Source organism: Homo sapiens, chromosome 4, assembly GCF_000001405.40.
Source record: "Homo sapiens chromosome 4, GRCh38.p14 Primary Assembly".
NCBI lineage: Eukaryota > Metazoa > Chordata > Mammalia > Primates > Hominidae > Homo > Homo sapiens.
The window spans coordinates 90,606,292-90,627,688 of record NC_000004.12 but is presented as its reverse complement, the minus strand read 5'-3'; the positions used below and the strand labels follow the sequence as shown (position 1 = coordinate 90,627,688).

Genomic DNA, 21,397 nt, shown 5'->3' with positions numbered 1-21,397 from the left:
AGTTTTTTAAAATTTTCACACATTCCAGTAGAAATTATGAAATGGTTCAAATATACATTTAGTGGTAAGATTCAATGAAAATTACTGTTTTAGGATATAATCTTTCCATTAAAAAAATTGTTTCCATTTTTAAAACCAAAAGACCTATCCAATAATGATAATTAATATTGTAACATACTTCAGAATATTTATAAAAACAGTTTAGGGCTTCTGCTTAATTTCAATACTATACATATATTTCTGAATTATATTATTTTCTTACATAATATATTTTTATATCATATAATTTTCTGAATTATATGACAAGATACTTTAGCAACCTAAATAGAGAAAAAACAAACAGATGCTCTGGCGCTTGCCACCAAGGTCAGGCAATAATACAGATAAGAAAATATATTTTAATTAATTTTATTCACATCTCATTATTCACAAACAGAATAACTGAATTTATAAATTACTAGATAATTAGTAAACACATTTTTGAATAATATTCAACTGTTTACTTATCTTCACAGATATGTTCAGTGGTTCAATTGTCCTGTGAAGGGATAAGATAATAATTACTACCTCCATTTTATATCTATAATGAAATAAGGAATAAAAAATTATGGCTAACATTTTTTGAGGGTTGACTATTGGCCAAGTACTGTGCTAACCACTCCATGTGTGTTAATTCATTCAAACTTTGAACAACTTCAAGAGGTAGATGAAATAAAGTACAGATAAGTAACTTTTCTTGGAGTTAAAGAGTTAGTGAGAAATGGATGTAAAATGAAATAACCTAGGATTTTGCCCCCTACTAACTACATAATGTGCATGCATATAATAATAGCTAATATTTATATAGTTCTTATTGAACCTCAGGCAGTCATGTAATGTCCTTATAGGTGTTAAATCATTTAATTCTCACAACAATTCTTTAAGGTTAGTACTATTATAATATCCATTTCCCAGTGGGGTGATTTGAGTCAAGAGAGGTTAAGTAACTTGCTGATGGTCACACAGCTAACAAAAGACATTGCTGAGGTTTGAATGCTGGCAATACATACTTAGCTCTAAACCACAACAGTGCTGCATTTTGTGTGGAAAACAAGCATGCAAATGAACAAAACAGTATACTTACAGTTATACTAAGAATCATTAACATTTTCACTTTAAAGTGTATATTTTATCTGATACGATTGATTCAATTTAATTATATTATGTCTAATTGCAACGAACTATACAGTCATTCTTAAAGCCTTCCGTTTAGTGTTAATGCTTTCTATGGCTATTTTCTCTAAGACCAATAAGAATAAAATCAAGTATAAAAATTAGAAGTCACGGTAGGTATATATTAAATTAGAGTAGTACTTTAGTTATAATCGAATTTTTGAAGTGTATCATTTTTAAGTTGTGAACTTGCCTGCTATTTGGCATATATTAGGCTGACTCAGTAAATAGTTGTATAATTGAAATTGAATAGATAAATACAATAATGGGTGAATAAATAAAACACAATTTGTTGTAATCATCGACGCATACAACTCATACAGAAAAATTTTTCTGTATTGTGAATTGTTATGAATTGCGGGGCTCCTGTCCATGGCTCTAAGTTTCCTGCCACAATTACAATAAAATTTAAATTATATTTCTATAATTCCTGTTAGTTAGCGTGCTGGCTCTTTAAAATTATTTGGTCAGTCATGGATCTAAACACCCATGAGGACTGACACAACTTTCAGGAATCATATTCGTGTGAAGTTCTAACACTGTATTTCAGGGAATTTACTGAGGCTCTGGAGATTATAATTTAACATTCACAAATTTGAATATCTTTGCCATTTTCAAATAGCTAAGATGAGCCATGTACAGAAATGCATTTTGAAAATAAAATTAGTCATTTTTTCATACTTCAATAATTTGAATATATTTTTAATCCCAAAAGGAAAAGATGATGGCATTTTTTTCCAAAATTATTGAAAACATCCACATTGTGTCCAGCAGAGCAGTGATGGCTGAAGTTGCAGAGATTAATAGGATTCTGTCACTGACTTTAAGAGGTTCACCACAATTATTAACTTTTTAGTAGTTGATACCAAAAAAAACTAATATTCTTTCACATATGAGAAACAAATCAATTTATCTCAAAACATTTTATCTCTACATGAAAAAATAGATCTGCTACAAGGCTATGGTAATCAAAACCATTCTTAATTAGGTTGAAACAGTTAGTGAAAGATCTGTTAAATGGGGTTGCCACTCAGCTGCAAAGGCCGGCACAGCCATCCTGTTTTATGCTGATTGCCATTGTCTTTCTGATTGGTTGGTGCCCATGGTTTACAGTTGTTCAATGTATTGAATATTAATGTTTTGATCAATAGCCATTATTGGGCAGAAAAATACCCAAGTGTCTCTGGGTAAATTCACCTAAAATTATCCTTGTGGTTGACAAGAAAATGAAGAAAAATCTCTAATACGAAGCCATATTTTCCTCTAGCACAGACAACATATTAAGGCTGGTGAGGGGAGAAAAAGATTCAGGTGCTCTTCTGTTCTTGCATTTAGCAGGGTTCACTGGATAATACAATTCGTTCACTTGGGGATATATAACTCTGTCTGCCAACTCTGAATTATTATAGTTTCAAGAAATTGAACAAATGTGCTTTATATCACCAAAGATAGTCCTTTAACTTGGCAAAAAAAGAAAGAGTATGATACTGAAGCTGGATACAGTGGTTCATTAATCACCATAACTACTCCAAACAAAAAACAAAGACAATGTAATCTCCGCTGAACACATTTATATACAGTTCATCCTCTCTGTGTCAACTTCATGAATCTTCAGTGAAATTGTTAGTAATATTTACACATGCCTCGTTGCTTATGAGTGCTAACCAAGTTTTTATAATTTAAGATTTAGTAACATTTAAAGTTTGAGACATACAGACTTTTCTAAGTCCATAAGTACCAAAATAACACAGGTTTTGGATAAGATTAATAGCAAATCCCATAAATGTTATATTAAGTGGATTTTCGAATGAGTAGAGGATTTGAGACTTTCAACTGATACTTAACACATTTAAGTTAAACTACGATGGTGAACTGGCTTTGCACTTTTCTCCCTGGGATCCTTTGTGTGAAAGGAATTTCTTATCAAACTAGTTCAAAAGTTCTGCTGTAATTCTCTCGTCAGTATGGCAGACAAGTTTAATGGGAAAACATATATCTTGACACAAACTACAGGGAAACTGAAAGGTTTTCCTTACCTGAGAGAGAAAGTAAGAATATTTTTATGATTTTTTTTCTCACTTAGCTATAACTAAGTAGTATCATTGGGTAGTTAGAATTTCCTCTGCCCACAAGTGCTCTTCAAATCATTTGAAAACTTCTTAATAAAATGGCCCAAATGACTATCAAAATACAAGATCATGTCAGTTGCATAGCATTGATCCCATTATCTGTCATAGGAACCTTTCCTTATTTAGTGCAATGACATCTTTCATTATAGGGAATGTCTATGGCCAAAAGCATCTCAATGATTTACACTTTATAATGTAACTGTGATTTCTGAACCAAATTTCCAAAGAACAGAAAAGTAAGTAACCCCTATTTACCTGGCATAATAAATAAGCATATGCACACAACTGCCTTCCAAAGCTTCATTAAGTAGAGCTGCAGAAAATAATAACTTTTAAAAACCTTAGCTTAGGATACTTACTGTTGTTTCAACTTCATTTTAAAAAGGTTCAGGTTATTTACGGTGAGTTTAATCCTAGCTTGAATAATTCTAAGACCAGCACAATGACATAAATCTATATTAATGAACTAGCATTCCCAGAACCTAACAGAAACTATCTGTTTAAGGACCTACCTACAAAAAGGCTGTTGATTATGAATAACTTATATTTTTCATTTTTCCTTTCCAAATATATTGTCTGTCTGAGAGTGTTATTTTAGGAAAACACTTGTATCTCAAATTATTCTGTAACTGAATGTTTCATCGTATTTCCAGAAGAGATGCAATCAGCATTTCCCTCTATAGTAAGTGTAGTGGTTATAAGAACTTAACAGTACATTTAGATAAAATTTACATTTAGATAAAAATCTACATGTGACAAGTTATTTCACCACTACCTGTGATATGGGGAAAAGCAAGATAGAATTCAAATATCTTAACATAGCCAACAAGGTTGTTTCATGGTCTAGAAACTGTCTCTCTCACAAAACCTCATCTCTTAACAGCTGCCTCTTTGCTCTTTGAGTTCCAAACACATTGGCCTTCATTCAGGCGCTGAAATGTGCCAAGTTCCATCCTGCCTCAGGGCCTTTGCATATGATGTTCTATCTCCATAAAAAAAAAATCCTGCCATCCTGGCCGGGCACAGTGGCTCACGCCTGTAATCCCAGCACTTTGGGAGGCCGAGGTTGGGGGATCATGAGGTCAGGAGATCGAGACCATCCAGGTTAACACGCTGAAACCCTGTCTCTACTAAAAATACAAAAAAAAAATAATTAGCCGGGAGTGGTGGCGGGTGCCTGTAGTCCCAGCTACTCTGGAGGCTGAGGCAGGAGAATGGCGTGAACCTGGGGGGCGAAGCTTGCAGTAAGCCGAGATTGCGCCACTGCACTCTGGCCTGGGCGAAAGAGGGAGGCTCCGTCTCAAAAAAAAAAAAAAAAAAAAAATCCTTTACCCATCTTCAGATCTTCCCTTATAAAACATCAGCAAAATACCATCTCACACCAGTTAGAATGGTGATCATTAAAAAGTCAGGAAACAACAGGTGCTGGAGAGGATGTGGAGAAATAGGGACACTTTTACACTGTTGGTGGGACTGTAAACTAGTTCAACCATTGTGGAAGACAGTGTGGCAATTCCTCAAGGATCTAGAACTAGAAATACCATTTGACCCAGCCATCCCATTACTGGGTATATACCCAAAGGATTATAAATCATGCTGCTATAAAGACACATGCACACGTATGTTTATTGTGGCACTATTCACAATAGCAAAGACTTGGAACCAACCCAAATGTCCATCAACGATAGACTGGATTAAGAAAATGTGGCACATATACACCATGGAATACTATGCAGCCATACAAAGGACAGTTCATGTCCTTTGTAGTGACATGGATGAAGCTGGAAACCATCATTTTCAGCAAACTATCGCAAGGACAAAAAAACAAACACCGCATGTTCTCACTCATAGGTGGGAATTGAATAATGAGAACACTTGGACACAGGAAAGGGAACATCACGCACCGGGGCCTGTCGAGGGGTTGGGGCAGGGGAAGGGATAGTATTAGGAGATATACCTAATGTAAATAAGGAGTTAATGGGTGCAGCACACCAACATGGCACATGTATACATATGTAACAAACCTGCACGTTGTGCACATGTACCCTAGAACTTAAAGTATAACTAAAACAAACAAACAAACATCAGGTCGCCAGAGAAACCTCTGCAGCTAGTACCCCACTCTTAAAAAATACACAGGTACCTCTTTTATATGGTAAGACTTCATTTTTAATGCTTATCACAGATGCATTTTAAAAAACTAATTTGAGGGGACCTCTAAGAACACATTTGAATGAGCTGATCTACACTCCACCTCATGTTCCAAATACAAAGAAATGCTAAATAACTTACAACCACATTTATTTTAAAACATATTACAGTACAAAAGGAAAAGCCAGATGAACTTCCAGGTGCCATATGAAAGAAAGCAAAATAGAAATAATTATACAAATTGCCACTGTGGTAGTGTCAGGGTATTGAACTTGCATGAGGTTTCTAAAAACAGAGGCTGCAGCAATTTTTACGCCTATGCAGATAAAGGAGAAGATCTGCCACAGACAAAGGAGACTCGTAGTGCTGATAGACATAGAGTTCCAAACTTTAAAAAGGCTCAAAAATTCACTTGATCCTACTAGTAAATTAACTACCTGCTGGAATAATTCTATACTTTCTCTAAAGGAAGACAATAAAATACAGACTCTGAAAAACATGTCATCCATTCATGTGTGTCAAATATTCCAATAAGTAGGCATGCAAAGAAGCAGAAAAACAATTTACAGACAGACACTAAAAATGAGATGACCCATATATTGAAATTAGCTGACAAGAATTTTAATCAGCATTATAAATATGTTCAAGGTCTATTAAAAATGGTAATAACAAAAAAACAAATGGCAAGTCTCAGCAGAGAAAAGGACATTATAAAGATGAAAAAAAAAAAACCCAGAAACTTGGAAACCAATTGATAACATTTCTGAAAGGAAAAAAATATTATGTGCAGACATTGTTGGCTGCCTACCCACTATTCATTTTATACCTCCTTCCTGCTTCTTTCAAAAACAAAACTTCTTAATTTGTTTAAAGGCTGGTTCTCCTATGACTCAGATAAATAAGACAAAGAGTGAGGTAGGAGGGCTTCAGGAAAACATTTCCTCCCTGGCAAAAAAGAAAAAAAACACAGAAAAATTATAGCTATTTTCCTTTGGATGTTGTTTTGTCTTGATATATTGCCTGGAATGATTGGTGTATCCCACAAAAGAGAGGAGAGTCAGCTGTAAAAAACACTGGTGGCCGGGCAGGGTGGCTCACACCTGTACTCTTGACAGTTTCGGAGGCCGAGGTGGGCAGATCACTTGAGGTCAGACGTTCAAGACCAGCCTGGACAACATGGTGAAACCCCCTCCCTACTAAAAATAAAAATACAAAATTAGCCAGCAGTGTTGATGCACGACCATAATGTCAGATACTCAGGAGGCTGAGGCAGGAGAATGGCTTGAACCCAGGAGGTGGAGGTTGCAGTGAGCTGAGATCGCGCCACTGCACTCCAGCCTGGGCAACAGAGTGTGTGAGACTCCGTTTAAAAAAAATAAAAGAAAGAAAGAAAAGAAAAGAGGTCATTGTTTCTTGTAACTAACCAACTTGGGGATTCCCTACCTCTTCTTGTTAGACAAGATTATGTTTTTGGGTTTTTTGTTTTTACTGTTTAATAATCTTTGTGTTAGGTTTGTCTTTTACTTGAAGGGGAAGGCATTCTAACTGGGATAATGGCTAAAGGATATATTCCAGTAAGAAAGACATTAAATCTAGAAGTAAGGGTGAAATATCATAATTAACTGTGTAACTATTTATTTCTATATTTGAAACTACGATGATTCAAGGAGGTAACAGGGACAGTACTTGTGTTTCTTGTTCATCAATGTATCCACAAAACCTTGCACAATTCTATGTAATACTCATATAAATAGACTAATCAAATTTAGTATAGAAAAAGAATAATAGTCCATCATGTATAATATCTCCATTTAATATATAGGAAAGCTCAAGCCTAAATTAATTTTCTAACTGTCACACAGAGACTGTGAAATTCTGGTTTCCTGACTTCTAGTCCAGTGTTCTTTTACCATATTGTATCATCTCTTAATAGGGTTACATTTTTAAATACACTTGTATTTATCTATTCTATTTTCACTGAAGCTAGAATAGTGAAATATTATTAAGTTACAGTCTTAGGGAATTAGATTAAATAGTAACGACTCCCACTATTCACTAAAATTAGTTTCCTTGTCCAAAATTTTATTAATTTTATTTTTACACCTATTTTGGTGCTTATTTTTAACTTTGTCCAAAATTTTAGAGAAAGTATCCTATGAGCATAAAACTGATCATACAAACTCCGCAAGTTCTGGCTTAGTCTTAAAAAGAGAAGGTTGACGTGACTGTGTATGTTCAGTACCTTTTCTCCATGCCATTAATGTCATGAGTATTTTTCTCTCCCATTTTCTACTTTCATATTCACATGTGACTTGAGATCCAGGTTAAGGAGCATTTCACTTATGAAAAGAATCAGAATTAATGAATGTAGAGATGAAAGTACAATCAGGTTGAACAAAAAAAATCCAAATTATTGTTTAAAAATTCTATACACATAAAGATACACACCAAATCTGTTTACACACACATACATATTTCTCATTTTCTAATTAATTATTTAATTGGAGGTATTGTATGCCTGTAATCATGCTATTATTGAAGTAATAATACATTGGGTTTCTTTCCCAGAGCACTAAAACTGACAGAAAGTTGAGAGCACAAAATCATCAAAGACATTTCATATAGATGGAAATAAATCAAACTCTTATTTACTGCCCCCTAATATTTATAGAAGTTGTTCGTAACTTACAAAATATCACAGGTTGGCGGGTCTTCCTATGTCTAAGAGGTATCAAACAAATTTTTTTTAATCTAAAATTATTTCTCCTTAGCCCTTCATGCAATTCATCATATAAACAACATAAATCATCTGCTGTGTTGGAACACTTTTATTTTATACATTTTCCAAACTGCACATTTTTCTCTTGCGGGGATCAGGAATATTTTCCCACCCTCTCATTCACCACTATATGGAAGAGTAATTTTATTTGGGAAATTTTAAATTACAGAAGAAGAGTAATGAGTTTAACAAAATCTCATCTGAGGAATAATTATTTCACGATGATACTGAAGAGCTTTCAAAATTTGCTAGAAGTTCAGTTCCATTGTAGTTTTTACTATATTTACTGTCAAATACATTTATAAAGATGAAAAACCTCTAAAAAGGGAAATAATTTTTACTATATTAAATATTCTATTTAACATTTGGTTGAAAACAACATTTTATAAATATATTATAGATAATGAGTATTTTTATTTTGTAGTTACCTATAATGTAGATCTTACAGTTATGGGTTAAGTATTTTTGGCTTTTTAACTTACATACTATATTTCATTTGAAATATGTTTAGTGGAAGAAATATATAAGATAATTCATTATTCATTTTATTTTTGCTTTTTGAAATAAAGGCTTTTTTTAAGTCACAAACTCCAGGTCTAAAGTGATTTACTTATTATGAACTTCTTATCAACAATAAGAGTTTTATACTTGCAGTGTAACAGAATAAGATGAGAATCATCATTTATTATGAAAATACATTTATTTTAAATGCCACTTGTTACCTACCTTCTTCCCTTCCCTTTAATATCAGAATAATGAGCCACAAAAATACCAGTGCCTTGCTTACTTCACATCCATATCATGTAATAAATTTGATTAATCTTACAGGACCAAACTACTAAAATAAAATCGAGCCTATTTCATTATCACATAAAATAGTTAGAACCTAATATTATTGCTTTAAGAGCTAGTATGCAAAATTTTTATAGCCATTTGAAGAATGCACAAAATGGGAATTTAGATATGATTTATGAAAAACATTATTAAAAATATTACTGTATGTATATTTGCTTCTGATAATTTGTGTTATAATATTCAAGATGTGGCAATCTAAGAGCTATAAGTGTTAGCCAAAAAATTATAGTCTAGAAAATAATGTTTCTAAAAAGAAAATTGTTGTCCTGTAATTTGGCATAAAGGTAATACCTAAAAGTATTGGCATAATCCATAGTGGCTAGGAAACTAAAGCTTCCAATACTTTTCAAAGGTAAAGACTTGGTGCTTATGACTTTGAGATTACAACTTTGAATAAATCTTTAGGGTGACAGAACTTTATCAATTTGAGAAAGATTAATAAAACCTACATTAATCTTCCCAATCAGATTTCATACATTCCATTCTAAAAGTAACAAAAGGACTTGTGATATATGTATTCAATTTCAACTAGAAACAGATTTTCCATATTACACCAAGTCAAGGATTCCAAAATGCCTTGACATACCCACTCACAGCCACACACACAAAAATCATCTAGATTACTTTCAAATAAGGAATGAAAAACATAATATGGTTTATACATAATTATATACAATAGAACTGTCAAAGTATGAACATCTGTTGCAAGGAACAAACAAAAAAATCCTTGAGATTAGTAAGAAAATCTCAGGCTAGACCTCAGAAGGGATAACATGAAGACAGAATGTCATCGCTGAACTAATTTAAACGATTCAGTTTAAAGTAGCTGAATTACTTTCCATTATTCATCAGTATAGCACCAACATAGACAAATACTACAATCATATGTATAAACATGATACATGGCTATAAATCATAAGGTTAGATAAGTTAGAAGCTGCAAAATGTTTTAGGTTTCTGTTGATGAATCTTTTCCTAACTCCTTTCTCAAAGACACAGACACTAAGATGGTTGGACTCTTATCTTTGTGCTTCAATATATTTTTCTTTGACTGTTATCTCAGTTTCTTTATTTCTATGCTGAAGTATACTTGACATTTAAAACCAGATAACAGTGGTTGCTGGTGGCATAGGATGGTTTTTCTTTTACACAAGCAGCAGAAACACAGATTGGTATCAACATTGAATTGTCTTTGAAACAGAGATGAGAATAAAAACTCAGCCCTCTTCTTAATACAACCAAAGAAGAGGTGAGAGAATAAAAGCTCCATTTTGCTCTTTCCTCTTCAGAGATAACTGCCCATTTAGAAAGGATAACAGAAAAAAAAATAATTCCCCCCAATAAAATCAAGTTCCATTCCTAAGACATACCTCCACCAAATAATCGTACTACGTTGTTTTATATGTATTGTTTCATACATATGAAACATATGTCTGAAAAGAATAAACTGTTCTGAAAAGAATAAATTGTTTTATGTGTAATAATTGTATTTTAAATTATGTCACCTTTAGAGATATTTTAATAATCAATTCTTATATTAACATTTTCCTAGGTGTAGAGACTGAACAGGATACACACAGCAAAACAGAACTTTAAACCCAGAGTCTGGCTCCAGAGTGTGAGTCCTAACATTTCCACTCCCTTCAGAGACAGCCACTTGGCGAAATCCTCGATAAGCTTCTTAAGCCAAACTCTAAAAGCCATGAATACATACTGATTAGAGGATATAAGCTAGTTTCACCTCAGAGTAATTCCTATAAGCTCTTTTATTTGTATTTAACCTAAAACATTTTTTCTCTCTCTCCCTTTTATTTTATTTTATTTGTGTGTGTGTGTGTGTGTGTGTGTGTGTGTGTGTGTGTGTGTGTGTGTGTGTGTGAGACAGAGCCACACTCTGTGGCCCAGGCTGGAGTTCAGTGGCCTGTTCTTGGCTCACTGCAACCTCCGCCTCCCAGGTTCAAGCAATTCTCCTGACTCAGCCTCCCAAGTATCTGGGATTAGAGGCGTGTGCTACCACACCCGACTAATTTTTTTATATTTTTGGTAGAGATGGAGTTTCACTCTGTTGGCCAGGCTGGTCTTGAACTCCCCTGACATCAAGTGATCCTCCCACCTTGGCCTTTCAAAGTGCTAGGATTACAGGTGTGAGCCACTACACCCAGTCTAAAACATTTTTTCTCTTATTCTTCGACAGTTTGTTAGAAGAGTGTAACATACTGGAAATTTTAACCAAAAACTACTTTATTAAAAAAAAGTTTCCTAGAATCATTGAAATTAATAATTTTGGTATACAGGCATACCTCAGAGATATCATGGGTTAGGTTCCATGCCACTGCAATAAGCAAATATTTCAATAAAGGAAGTCACACAATTTTTTTGCTTTCCTAGCACATATAAAAGTTTGTGTATACTATACTGTATTTTATTAAGCGTGCAATAGCATTATGTCTAAAAAACAATGTACACGCCTTAATTTAAAAATAATTTATTGCTAAAAAATTCTAACAATCACCTGAGCTTTCAATGAGTCCTAATCTTTTGCTAGTGAGAGGTCTTACCTCCATATTTATGACTGCTGACTGATCAGGGTGGTGGTTGCTGAAGGGTGGAGTGGCTGTGGCAATTTCCTGAAATAGGGCAACAATGAAGTTTGCTGCATCTAGTCACTCCCTTTCACAAAAGATTTCTCTGTAGCATGCAATTCCATTTGGTAGCATTTTACCCAGAGTTAAACTTCTTTCAAACTTCGTATCAATCCTCTCAAACCCTGCCCCAGCTTTATCCACTAAGTTTAGGTAATATTCTAAATTTTTTGTTGTAATTTCAACAATATTCACAGCATATTCACTAAGAGTAGAATCTATCTCAAAAAAAGAAAAAAAAAAAACAACACTTTCTGTGCTCATCTACAAGAAGCAACCGTTATGGGATTACAGCAATTCAGTTACATATTCAGGGTCCACTTCTAATTCTAGTTCTCTTGGTGTTTCCACCACATCTGAAGTTACTTCCTACACTGGTCTTTGTAGTCTTGAACCCCTTGAAGTCATCCATGAGGGCTGGAATCAACTTCTTCCAAATTTGTGTTGATGTTGATATTTTGTCCTCCTCCCATGAATTACAAATGTTCTTAATGGTATCTAGAATGGTTCTTTCCAGAAGATTTTTAATGTATTTTACCCAGATCAAACAGAAGAACCACTCTCTCTGGCAACTCTAGCCTTACAACGTGTATTTCTTAAATATGAAGACTTGAGCATCAAAATTCCTCAACGATCCATGAGCTACAGAATGGATGTTCTGTTAGACGGCATGAAAACAACTTTAATCTCCTCATACCTCTCCATCAGAATGCTTGGTTGACCAGGTGCATTGTCAATGACCAGTAATATTTTTAAAGAAATCTTGTTTTTTTCTGAGCAGTAGGTTTCAACAGTGGGCTTAAAATATTCAGTGTTCCATGTTGTAATCAGATGTGTTGTCATCTATGCTTCGTTGCTTCATTAATTGAGCACAGACATAATTCTTAAGGGCCCTACAATTTTCAGAATGGGAAATAAAACTTGGCTTCAACTTAAAGTCAAGAGCTGCTTTAGTCCCTATCAAGAGAGTCAGCCTGTCCTTGGAAGCTTTGAAGTCAGGCATTGACTTCTCTCTAGCTATGAAAGTCCCAGATGGCATCTTCTGTCTGTTTTGTCTACCTTGAAAATCTGTTTGCCAGTGTAGCCACCTTCATCAATGGTCTCAGTGAGATTTTCTGGATAACTTTCTGTGCTTCTACATTAGTGCTTGCTGCTTTACCTTACACTTTTATTTTATGGAGATAGCTTCTCTCCTTAAATCTCATGAACCAACCCCTGCTAGTTTCCAGCTTTTCTTCAGCAGCTTTTTCACCTCTCTCAGCCTTCATAAAATCAAAGAGAGTTAGGGCTTTTCTCTGGATTAGGCTTTGGCATAAGGGACTGTAATGACTGATTTGATTTATCCAGACCACTAAAACTTTCTCCATATCAGCAACAAGGCTGTTTTATTTTCTTATAATTCCTGTGCTCACTGAAGTAGCACTTTTAATATCTTTCAAGAACTTTTCCTTTGCATCCACAACGTGGCTGTTTGTCAAAAGATGCCTAGCTTTTGACATGTTTTGCTCACCAAGCTTAATCATTTACAGCTTTTCACGTAAATTTAGAGAAATGTGACTCTTCACTTGAACATCTACAGGGCATTGTAGAATTGATCTAATTTCAATATTGTTGTGTCTTAGGGAATAGGGAGGCCTGAGGACAGGGAGAGATATAGGGGAATAGCCAGTCAGAACACACACATTTATCCACTGAGTTTGATTTCTATATGGGCACAGTCCATGGCACCTCAAAACAATTACAATAGTAACATCAAAGATTGCTGATCATAGATCACCATAACTAATATAATAATGAAAAAGTTTGAAATCTTGTGTGAATACCAAATTGTGGCACAGAGACACAGTGAGCACAGGTTGTTGGAAAACTAGCACCGATGGACTTGCTTGACAGACGATTACCAAAAACCTTCAATTTGTAAAAAATGTAGTATGTGGGAAGCACTGTGTAAAGCAAGGTGCAATAAAATGAGATATGCCAGTATTTAAACCTGAGTATCTGTGATCCAATGGAGATGTTACAGGAGCACTGTTAAATAAACTATTCATGTTCTTAGAGCCAACTTCTTAGAAGCTGGTCACAGGAGTGTAAGAAAGGATTTTTATTTTTTTATTTCCATGTGAATGTCTGTTTGTTTTTTCCTGCACAGGAAGAAATCACGTCCTTTGTTAACAGTTCCTTTATGTTCCTTCGAGAAACTCCTTACTCTTCTCCATGATTGCATGCAGTCTTGCTAAACAGGGTCCCATGCTCTCTTCCCCTGTGGCTATAGCTGCCATAGATAGTGATTCTTCTGATGAATTTAGGCAAAGTAAACTGAAAACCTTCTGGAAAGAATTCACCATTCTAAATCCCTAGATTATGGTTCCCAGAAGTGTGAATCTTTAGTAGCAACAAAGGACGAAGACAGAAAACCATAGTAGCTGATTTATACTATGGAGCTTATCCATTAATTCCTGCCACCCATGGTCAGATTCATGAACTTGTGAGATGCCCACCTCTTGAAAGGATACTACATTTGGTAATATATTCTTCTGTCACCATCTTGAAATTTTCAGTGATTTCTGAACAAGTAGTACTACATTTTCATTTTGCACTGGACCCTTCAATTATGAGGCTAGCCCTGCTTCTATCTCAGTTCTCTAAGATTCCCATCTTTTGCCTGACTTGAGTGCTGTTTAGCTTTTCATTTCTGTGTGCCTCTTCATATCCTTCCAATAACCAGTTTTTTTTCTTTTTTTCATGAAGTGAGCAAAAGTAGGTTTCTGGGACTTGTATCAAAGAACTGTATGTTATACTTTTGGGCACACCTAAGACTAAAGTATAAATGTAGTACAAGGTTCTTCCAGTGCCTGTGTACCGTTGGGTGTATTCCTGTCATGCCCCTTTGTGATCTCTGAGTTTGCTTTAGAGTATTATTGTTCCCTGGATACTCAGAATTCATTATTGGGTTGCTGTATTTCATTTAATTCTAAGTCAGAGGCCAGTGACTTTTTTTAACTTCCCTGTCAAAATACACCAATGCTATGCCCTGGCCCTCACCACTCTGACCCTTCTTAGGTAATTAATCCAGCTAATATGCTGGTGTCTGATAAGAGACTGGTATAACATTTTATTTTAACAGAGTACGTATTATCCAAAAGGAATAACTCCACACACAAACATTAAGGGGATTATGTCTGCAAAAGATAGCCTTTTTATGGTATTTGGTTTCTCAAATACTACTATATAGGGAGCCATATATTCTGTCTACAAGTTTCTGTTGCATTTGGAAGCAAAAATACATAAGCTATTCTAAGACTGACCTTTTTACACTAGGGAGAATGAAGTGGCTTGGAGGGAAGCAACAGAAAATTATAAGAATTTTGTTTTAATGTGGAATTTCTCTGCTTTAAAAATGGAGTTGCATATGTCATAAATCTAATAAGTTTATCTTATACTGCCTAAGTTTCTTTTCATTGGTAGTTCCAACACATTAATGTTTACTCATTTTCTGTCTTTGTTCATGAGAAAGGCTAAAACTGATGGCTGCTTTCTGTGATTATCTTGTCTTTTAAGTGATGAAATATACCCCGTTCTCCAAATACCCTGTCCTACTGAATTATCAACAAGAAATTTAGATTATGCTTTCCACCATTAAAAAATAATAATGATCTTTTTAGTATTCCACCAATGTTCCCAATAGTTTCTCTCTAAAACTTTTCTATAAACTAAAATTTTACCTTGAGATAAACAAAAACTTCATGTGGAACTAAATAGTTTATTTTTTTGTTGTTGTTTTAAGTCTTAAGGTATTTTATTTGTAAATAAACTCAGCAATTTTAAATTACATTTTATTGAACACGCAATTAAAATATTTGTTATTGGCATGTCTACAGCTATCATTTAAAAGAAAATCAAAGTGAAAATAAGGTAAATAAAAGAGATATATTAAGAAAGAGTGTAAAAAGTCAGGAAAAATTTGAGTATCTGATATCTGTGAGAAAGTTTCTATAATAAATGTGCTAATCATATTTAAGAGGCCAAGTATATCTCCCTTTAAGATATTAAGACTCCTTTTCATGCCACGTGAGTGGTTTTATTTTGAGGATAACAGAAATAAGCTGTATATATAATTTTAAATATATAATATATATAAAGCCTGTTTCTACATATATTAAAGTATTATTTTAAATATATAATATATATAATTATATATTATATCCTGTTCATCCATATATGTATTTAGTGAATGAACAGGAAATAACTTTCTTCATATGAAATGGTATTATAGAAATATCCTTAAGAGGTTTGGCTTATTAATTAATACACACAAAAATAAAATATACCAATCATATAAGAACTTACATTTTAGAAAAAAAAAAATGTGTTTCAGTTTTTAAATACCAGGTAGCCTAGACATTAGCAAATGGATATCTTCTACCCCTGGGATCATTTTATTCTCTCAAAGCAACCAACTGAGATTTGAATAAATCCAACTGATCTTATAAGGATATCAAGGCTTCAAAGGACTAAAGCACTGTGCCTTCAACCTCTGGTTCACATACTAAAAAGATCTACTGAATTTACATGTTAGCAGTCATATATCACAAGAAAGAGAGTAGAATAAAGTGTTTGCAACCAAATAGCCCAATCATTAAATAAAGGCAACAGAGCTTCATTTTTTTCAGTAATTTTGTCATTTGACAGCTTTTTTCATTTGCTTGTTAAGAATATGAACTGGGCTGGGCGCGGTGGCTCACGCCTGTAATTCCAGCAATTTGGGAGGCTGAGGCGAGTGGATCACCTGAGGTCAGGAGTTCGAGACCAGCCTGATCAACATGGTAAAACTCTATCTCTACAAAAAAAAAAAAAAAAAAAAGAAAAGAAAAGAAAATTAGCCAGGCATGGTGGCGGGCGCCTGTAAACCCAGCTACTCAGGAGGCTGAGGCAGGAGAATTGCTTGAACCTGGAAGGGGAGGTTGCAGTGAGCCAAGATCACGCTATTGCACTCCAGCCTGGGCAACAAGAGCAAAACTTGGTCTCAAAGAAACAACAACAAAAAAAGAATATCAACTGATGGCAATCTTCTGAGTTTCAAATTTTTCTCATCTCATTAATGTAATGAGATAAAGGTCGATCTGCCTTCTGTACACTCTAGCGCTATTCAATGCATATTAATAAATTTGATAATATTTGCCTTCATTGTTATGTGTGTAGCTTTTCACATAAAAATATGATGTTCATCATAATACTAACATGAAGTTTATTGTTGTACTGCTTAATTATTGATTTGACTTCTATGTATTCTCATAGTTTTAAAAGCAAATCACTCAAGTGGTAGACTAGCCTAAAATTTTTCTTTTCTAGCAACTGAAGATCAATGGCCTCACTGTCAGATGTCAGCCTTAGAAAGCAAAAAGAGCTAAAATATTTATATCATATGTATCTATTTATACGTGTATGAATACGTTTAAGCAATCACCATGAAGTAGTAGCTGATAGTTGTTCACAAATATTCTTCTCACATGTTTAAGACAAGAAGATTGGGCATGACTCGAGAAGGGCAGTAAAATTTTTGACTCAGAATGGCAGATTCCTTGCGATCTTTTGTAATTACAGCTTACTGAAATCACATTTTATTTATTTATTTATTTATTTATTTATTTATTTATTTATTTATTTATTTGAGATGGAGTCTTGTTCTGTCGCCCAGTCTGGAGTGCAGTGGCGCAATCTTGGCTCACTGCAAGCTCCGCCTCCTGGGTTCACACCATTCTCCTGCCTCAGCCTCCCGAGTAGCTGGGACTACAGGTGCCCGCCACCACGCCCGGCTAATTTTTTGTATTTTTAGTGGAGACGGGGTTTCACCGTGTTAGCCAGGATGGTCTCAAATCTCCTGACCTCGTGATCCACCGGCCTTGGCCTCCCAAAGTGCTGGGATTACAGGCATGAGCCACCGCGCCTGGCCTCACATTTTAAAATTGATATTCTATGTGAATAAATAGCACTTTTTCTTCTGTAATCCAAATTACAGTAATCAATATGAATCCTATGTCACCCAAGTAAGGAGTAAAATAATTTAAAACATGAGTTCAGTATTTTAAGGTCAATGACTCTAATATGCCACTGATTACTAAAGTACACATCCAACTGGGTTGCATTTATCTAAATTCAGTAGCCGAATCTACTCTTATTCATAAATGTTTTCTGAGTGTCCCTCCATGCGAAACATCTCTATGATAGCTAGATTTAGAGACAGGTATCTAATGCCTAATGAATATCTCAATTGGGTAACATTTGTGTGCTATAAGGCATATAAGATACCACATACTGATACAATGCTCTATAGTTTTCCTTCTAAAATAGTTGTGTCATGTATTCCCACTGAAGTTTGAAGGTTGGGATAATATCTTTAGATTGAACATTTTATTTATTCTTTCAGAATAAGTTTTGTTCTATCAAAAGGAAAACTATATAGACTTTTTTGTGTATTATTGATATAGTAATACTGGTATAATCTTTTTCTGACAGGCTAGAAAATTTCACAGCATATTTAAATATGAATACAACTGACATATGATTCCTTTTAACTTGGCCTAATTATATGCGTTAACTCACAAAACAAATATATAAACCAATTAATATCAACTACAGTGAAAAGTGAAACAATTTAACTCTTACTAAGCCTGAAGAAAATGACATGATCACACTATGTCTGATTTCTATTCACAACATTTTTATTATCTAGTAAGGGATGCAATGGAAACAAACGTCTAAGTATAAATATATAAAAATATGAATAAAATTAATCACACTTCTATTATGGTCAATTGCAGTAAACATACTAAAATACAGTTATTATAGATAACTACAGGAATCCAGGATTCTATCTTGGAGGCGGTACTATTTGATGCAAGAACTGCATTTTAATATGATGCTATCAGAACAAATGAGCTGAAATGGGGAGAGAATCCCATAGAGAAAAAATCAACAAAATCATAAGGTGAAGATTTATGTATAGAGAAATAAGCCTAAAAAGCAAGGTATTTTCTTTATTATAAAACAGATTAAAAATTCTAAACAATAGACTACATAGAATGGCCACATTTGAAACCTTTCTACAGAAGCAGGACAATCAGGAATCAAATGAAATAAAATAAGAAGAAATAAATTGGAAAGGCAAAATAAGAAGTGAGAATATATTATTTTCTAGATCAGAATATTATACATATTAGGAGTTTAATGGAAACATTAATATTTGTGTAATTTTACATTATGCATGAATCATTTTTATTAATAGTATCTATTAGTTATCTACCTCTTAATGATAATGTATATATTTGTTACTATAAGAGGCAGAATTCTAAGAGGGCCTCTAAGATTCCACTCCCTGGTGTATATGCCTTGTATATTCTCCTCCCTTTGAGCTGTGGACAGAAACTGTGAATTTAATGGGATATCGTGTGCTTAGCTTGATAATTGGTTGTCTTTGAGTTAATAATCTTTTAGAAATAACTTATTCTGACCCAGTCCCCAATCAGAGGACCCTTTAGGAGAAGGTAAAGCATCAGAAAGGTATGGTCCTTTTGAGCTTGAAATTGAAGCCTCCATGAGTTCTGCAGATACCAGGAAATGAATTCTGTCAATGATCACATGAGTTTGGGTGACGAACCTCAGATAACACCGTGGCCTGGCCAACACCACTACTGTAGCCTTGTGGGACCCTAATAGAGGACCCAACTAATCCCTGCTCAAACTCCTTATCCACAGAAAGTGTAAACCTTAATCTAAATACCTTAAATTTCTTTGAATTAATCTAGCCTTGTTCTTATTTATTAAGATCCCTAAATAACATATCAGCTTTCAGAAAGCAATGTAAAAATAAATATTTTGTACAGTTTTAAAAGAACTTAGGAAATGTGAGGAGTCAACATTACTAAATATAGTTGTGGAGTGCACACAGGATATAGAATACACACTTTTACTCCAGTATGCTTATGTGTTATTTCTGCCTTAAAATTTAAAAACGGTTAAGTGGAGTCTTTCTTTCAAATTCAGGTTTTGAAAAAAAATTTAGTTGAGAGGAAGGGAAAAGGCAAGTTGAATTTCAAGATCCATGTTTAAGAAGGTAGTTATAAGTATCCATTACCCTCTGTATGGGTTGAATTGTGTCTCCCCAAAATTTATATTTTGAAGTCCTAGCTCCTAAAACTTCAGAATGTGACCTTATTTGGGAAAAGAGTCATTGCAGATGTAATCAGTTAAGATAAGGTCAACACAGAGAACGATGGGCCCCTATTCGAACATAACTGGTATTACAGAAAGGGAAAATTTGGATAAACACAAAACACAGGGAGAACACCATGTGAAAATTAAGGCGGAAATCAGGGTGATGCTTCTATGAGCCAAGGAAAGCCAAAGATTGCCAGAAAACCACAAGAACTAGGGGAGAGGCAGCCCTCAGAAGGAACCAGCTCTGTCAATATCTTGATATGAGACTTATAGCCTCTAAAACTGTGAGACAATAAATTTCTATTGGTTTAAGCCACCCAGTTTGTGATAATTTGGTATGGCAGCCTTAGCAAACTAATAAATGCTCCTTCCTTAAAGTTTTTATATTTAGTGTGTTCAGGAATGAGAACATTTTAACACATAAGATTTATTCTATTAAATATTGACATATATATCAAAATATACACAAATGTCTAAAAACAGCCAACGGTTTTCACTGCCTTTCAAATACTGAGGTACTAACTAATGTATTATATTCTGACGCTTTTGGTTAAAATGCAATACATTTTCAGAACATCAGAGTCATCCATAACTAAATACATAACTAAAACCATATGTAAAATATTTCTTCCCCACAAAATTGGAATTAATCTTACTGTGTTCTCCTCCACTAGCAATGATTATTATGATTTACTGGAATCCTTAATTTCATCAACAACATATAAATAGGGAACTTATGAAAATACCTTCAGGCCAAAATGTATCTGTAATGTTATGTTTTTAAAAGATAACTATTTGGTGTGGAAATGCAAAAGCCCAGCCTCAGTGTGAATGCCAACATTAATATTTATACATTATGGACCTAGTTTATCTGTATGAGTGTCACAGAAACCCTCATAGTTTGGGATGCCCCTGGGCTATCTCAGAGTAGAACAGTATATATACCACTGATCATTATTATCTCTGAGAGACATAATAATTTAGGAAGTTGTCAAAATATAATTTTATCCACTTTTTCCTGCATATCCATGCCATAGATTTGCTATGAAATGATGCACAGTACTTCAAAATAAAGGTGAAAATAAATTTTTCACAGTACATATTTAAAACTTGGTTGATCAAAATCAGTAACAATGAAAAAGTGACATATGAACTCTATATCACGTCAAGTGTGGGACTGTACCATGTAATGACATTTTGGTCAATAATGGACCGCATATACAACAATGATCCCATAAGATTATAAACGAGCTGCCTCGTGATGTCATAGCTAACATTAATGTCTTGGCACAATGCATTATCTTTTCTATGTCTAGGGATGTTTAGGTACACAAATATTTTACCATTGTATTACAACTGCGTTATAATGTAGGTGTGTAGTAGTCTATATCATCTAGGTTTGTGTAAGTACACTC

General features: G+C 34.2%; 1 protein-coding gene across 35 annotated transcripts in view; it reads right to left on the bottom strand.

Annotated features, from left to right (window-relative positions):
• The window catches only part of CCSER1 (coiled-coil serine rich protein 1), a 1,477,902-nt gene that overhangs the window by 977,607 nt on the left and 478,898 nt on the right, over positions 1-21,397 (bottom strand). The gene's annotated exons all lie outside the window — the stretch shown is intronic.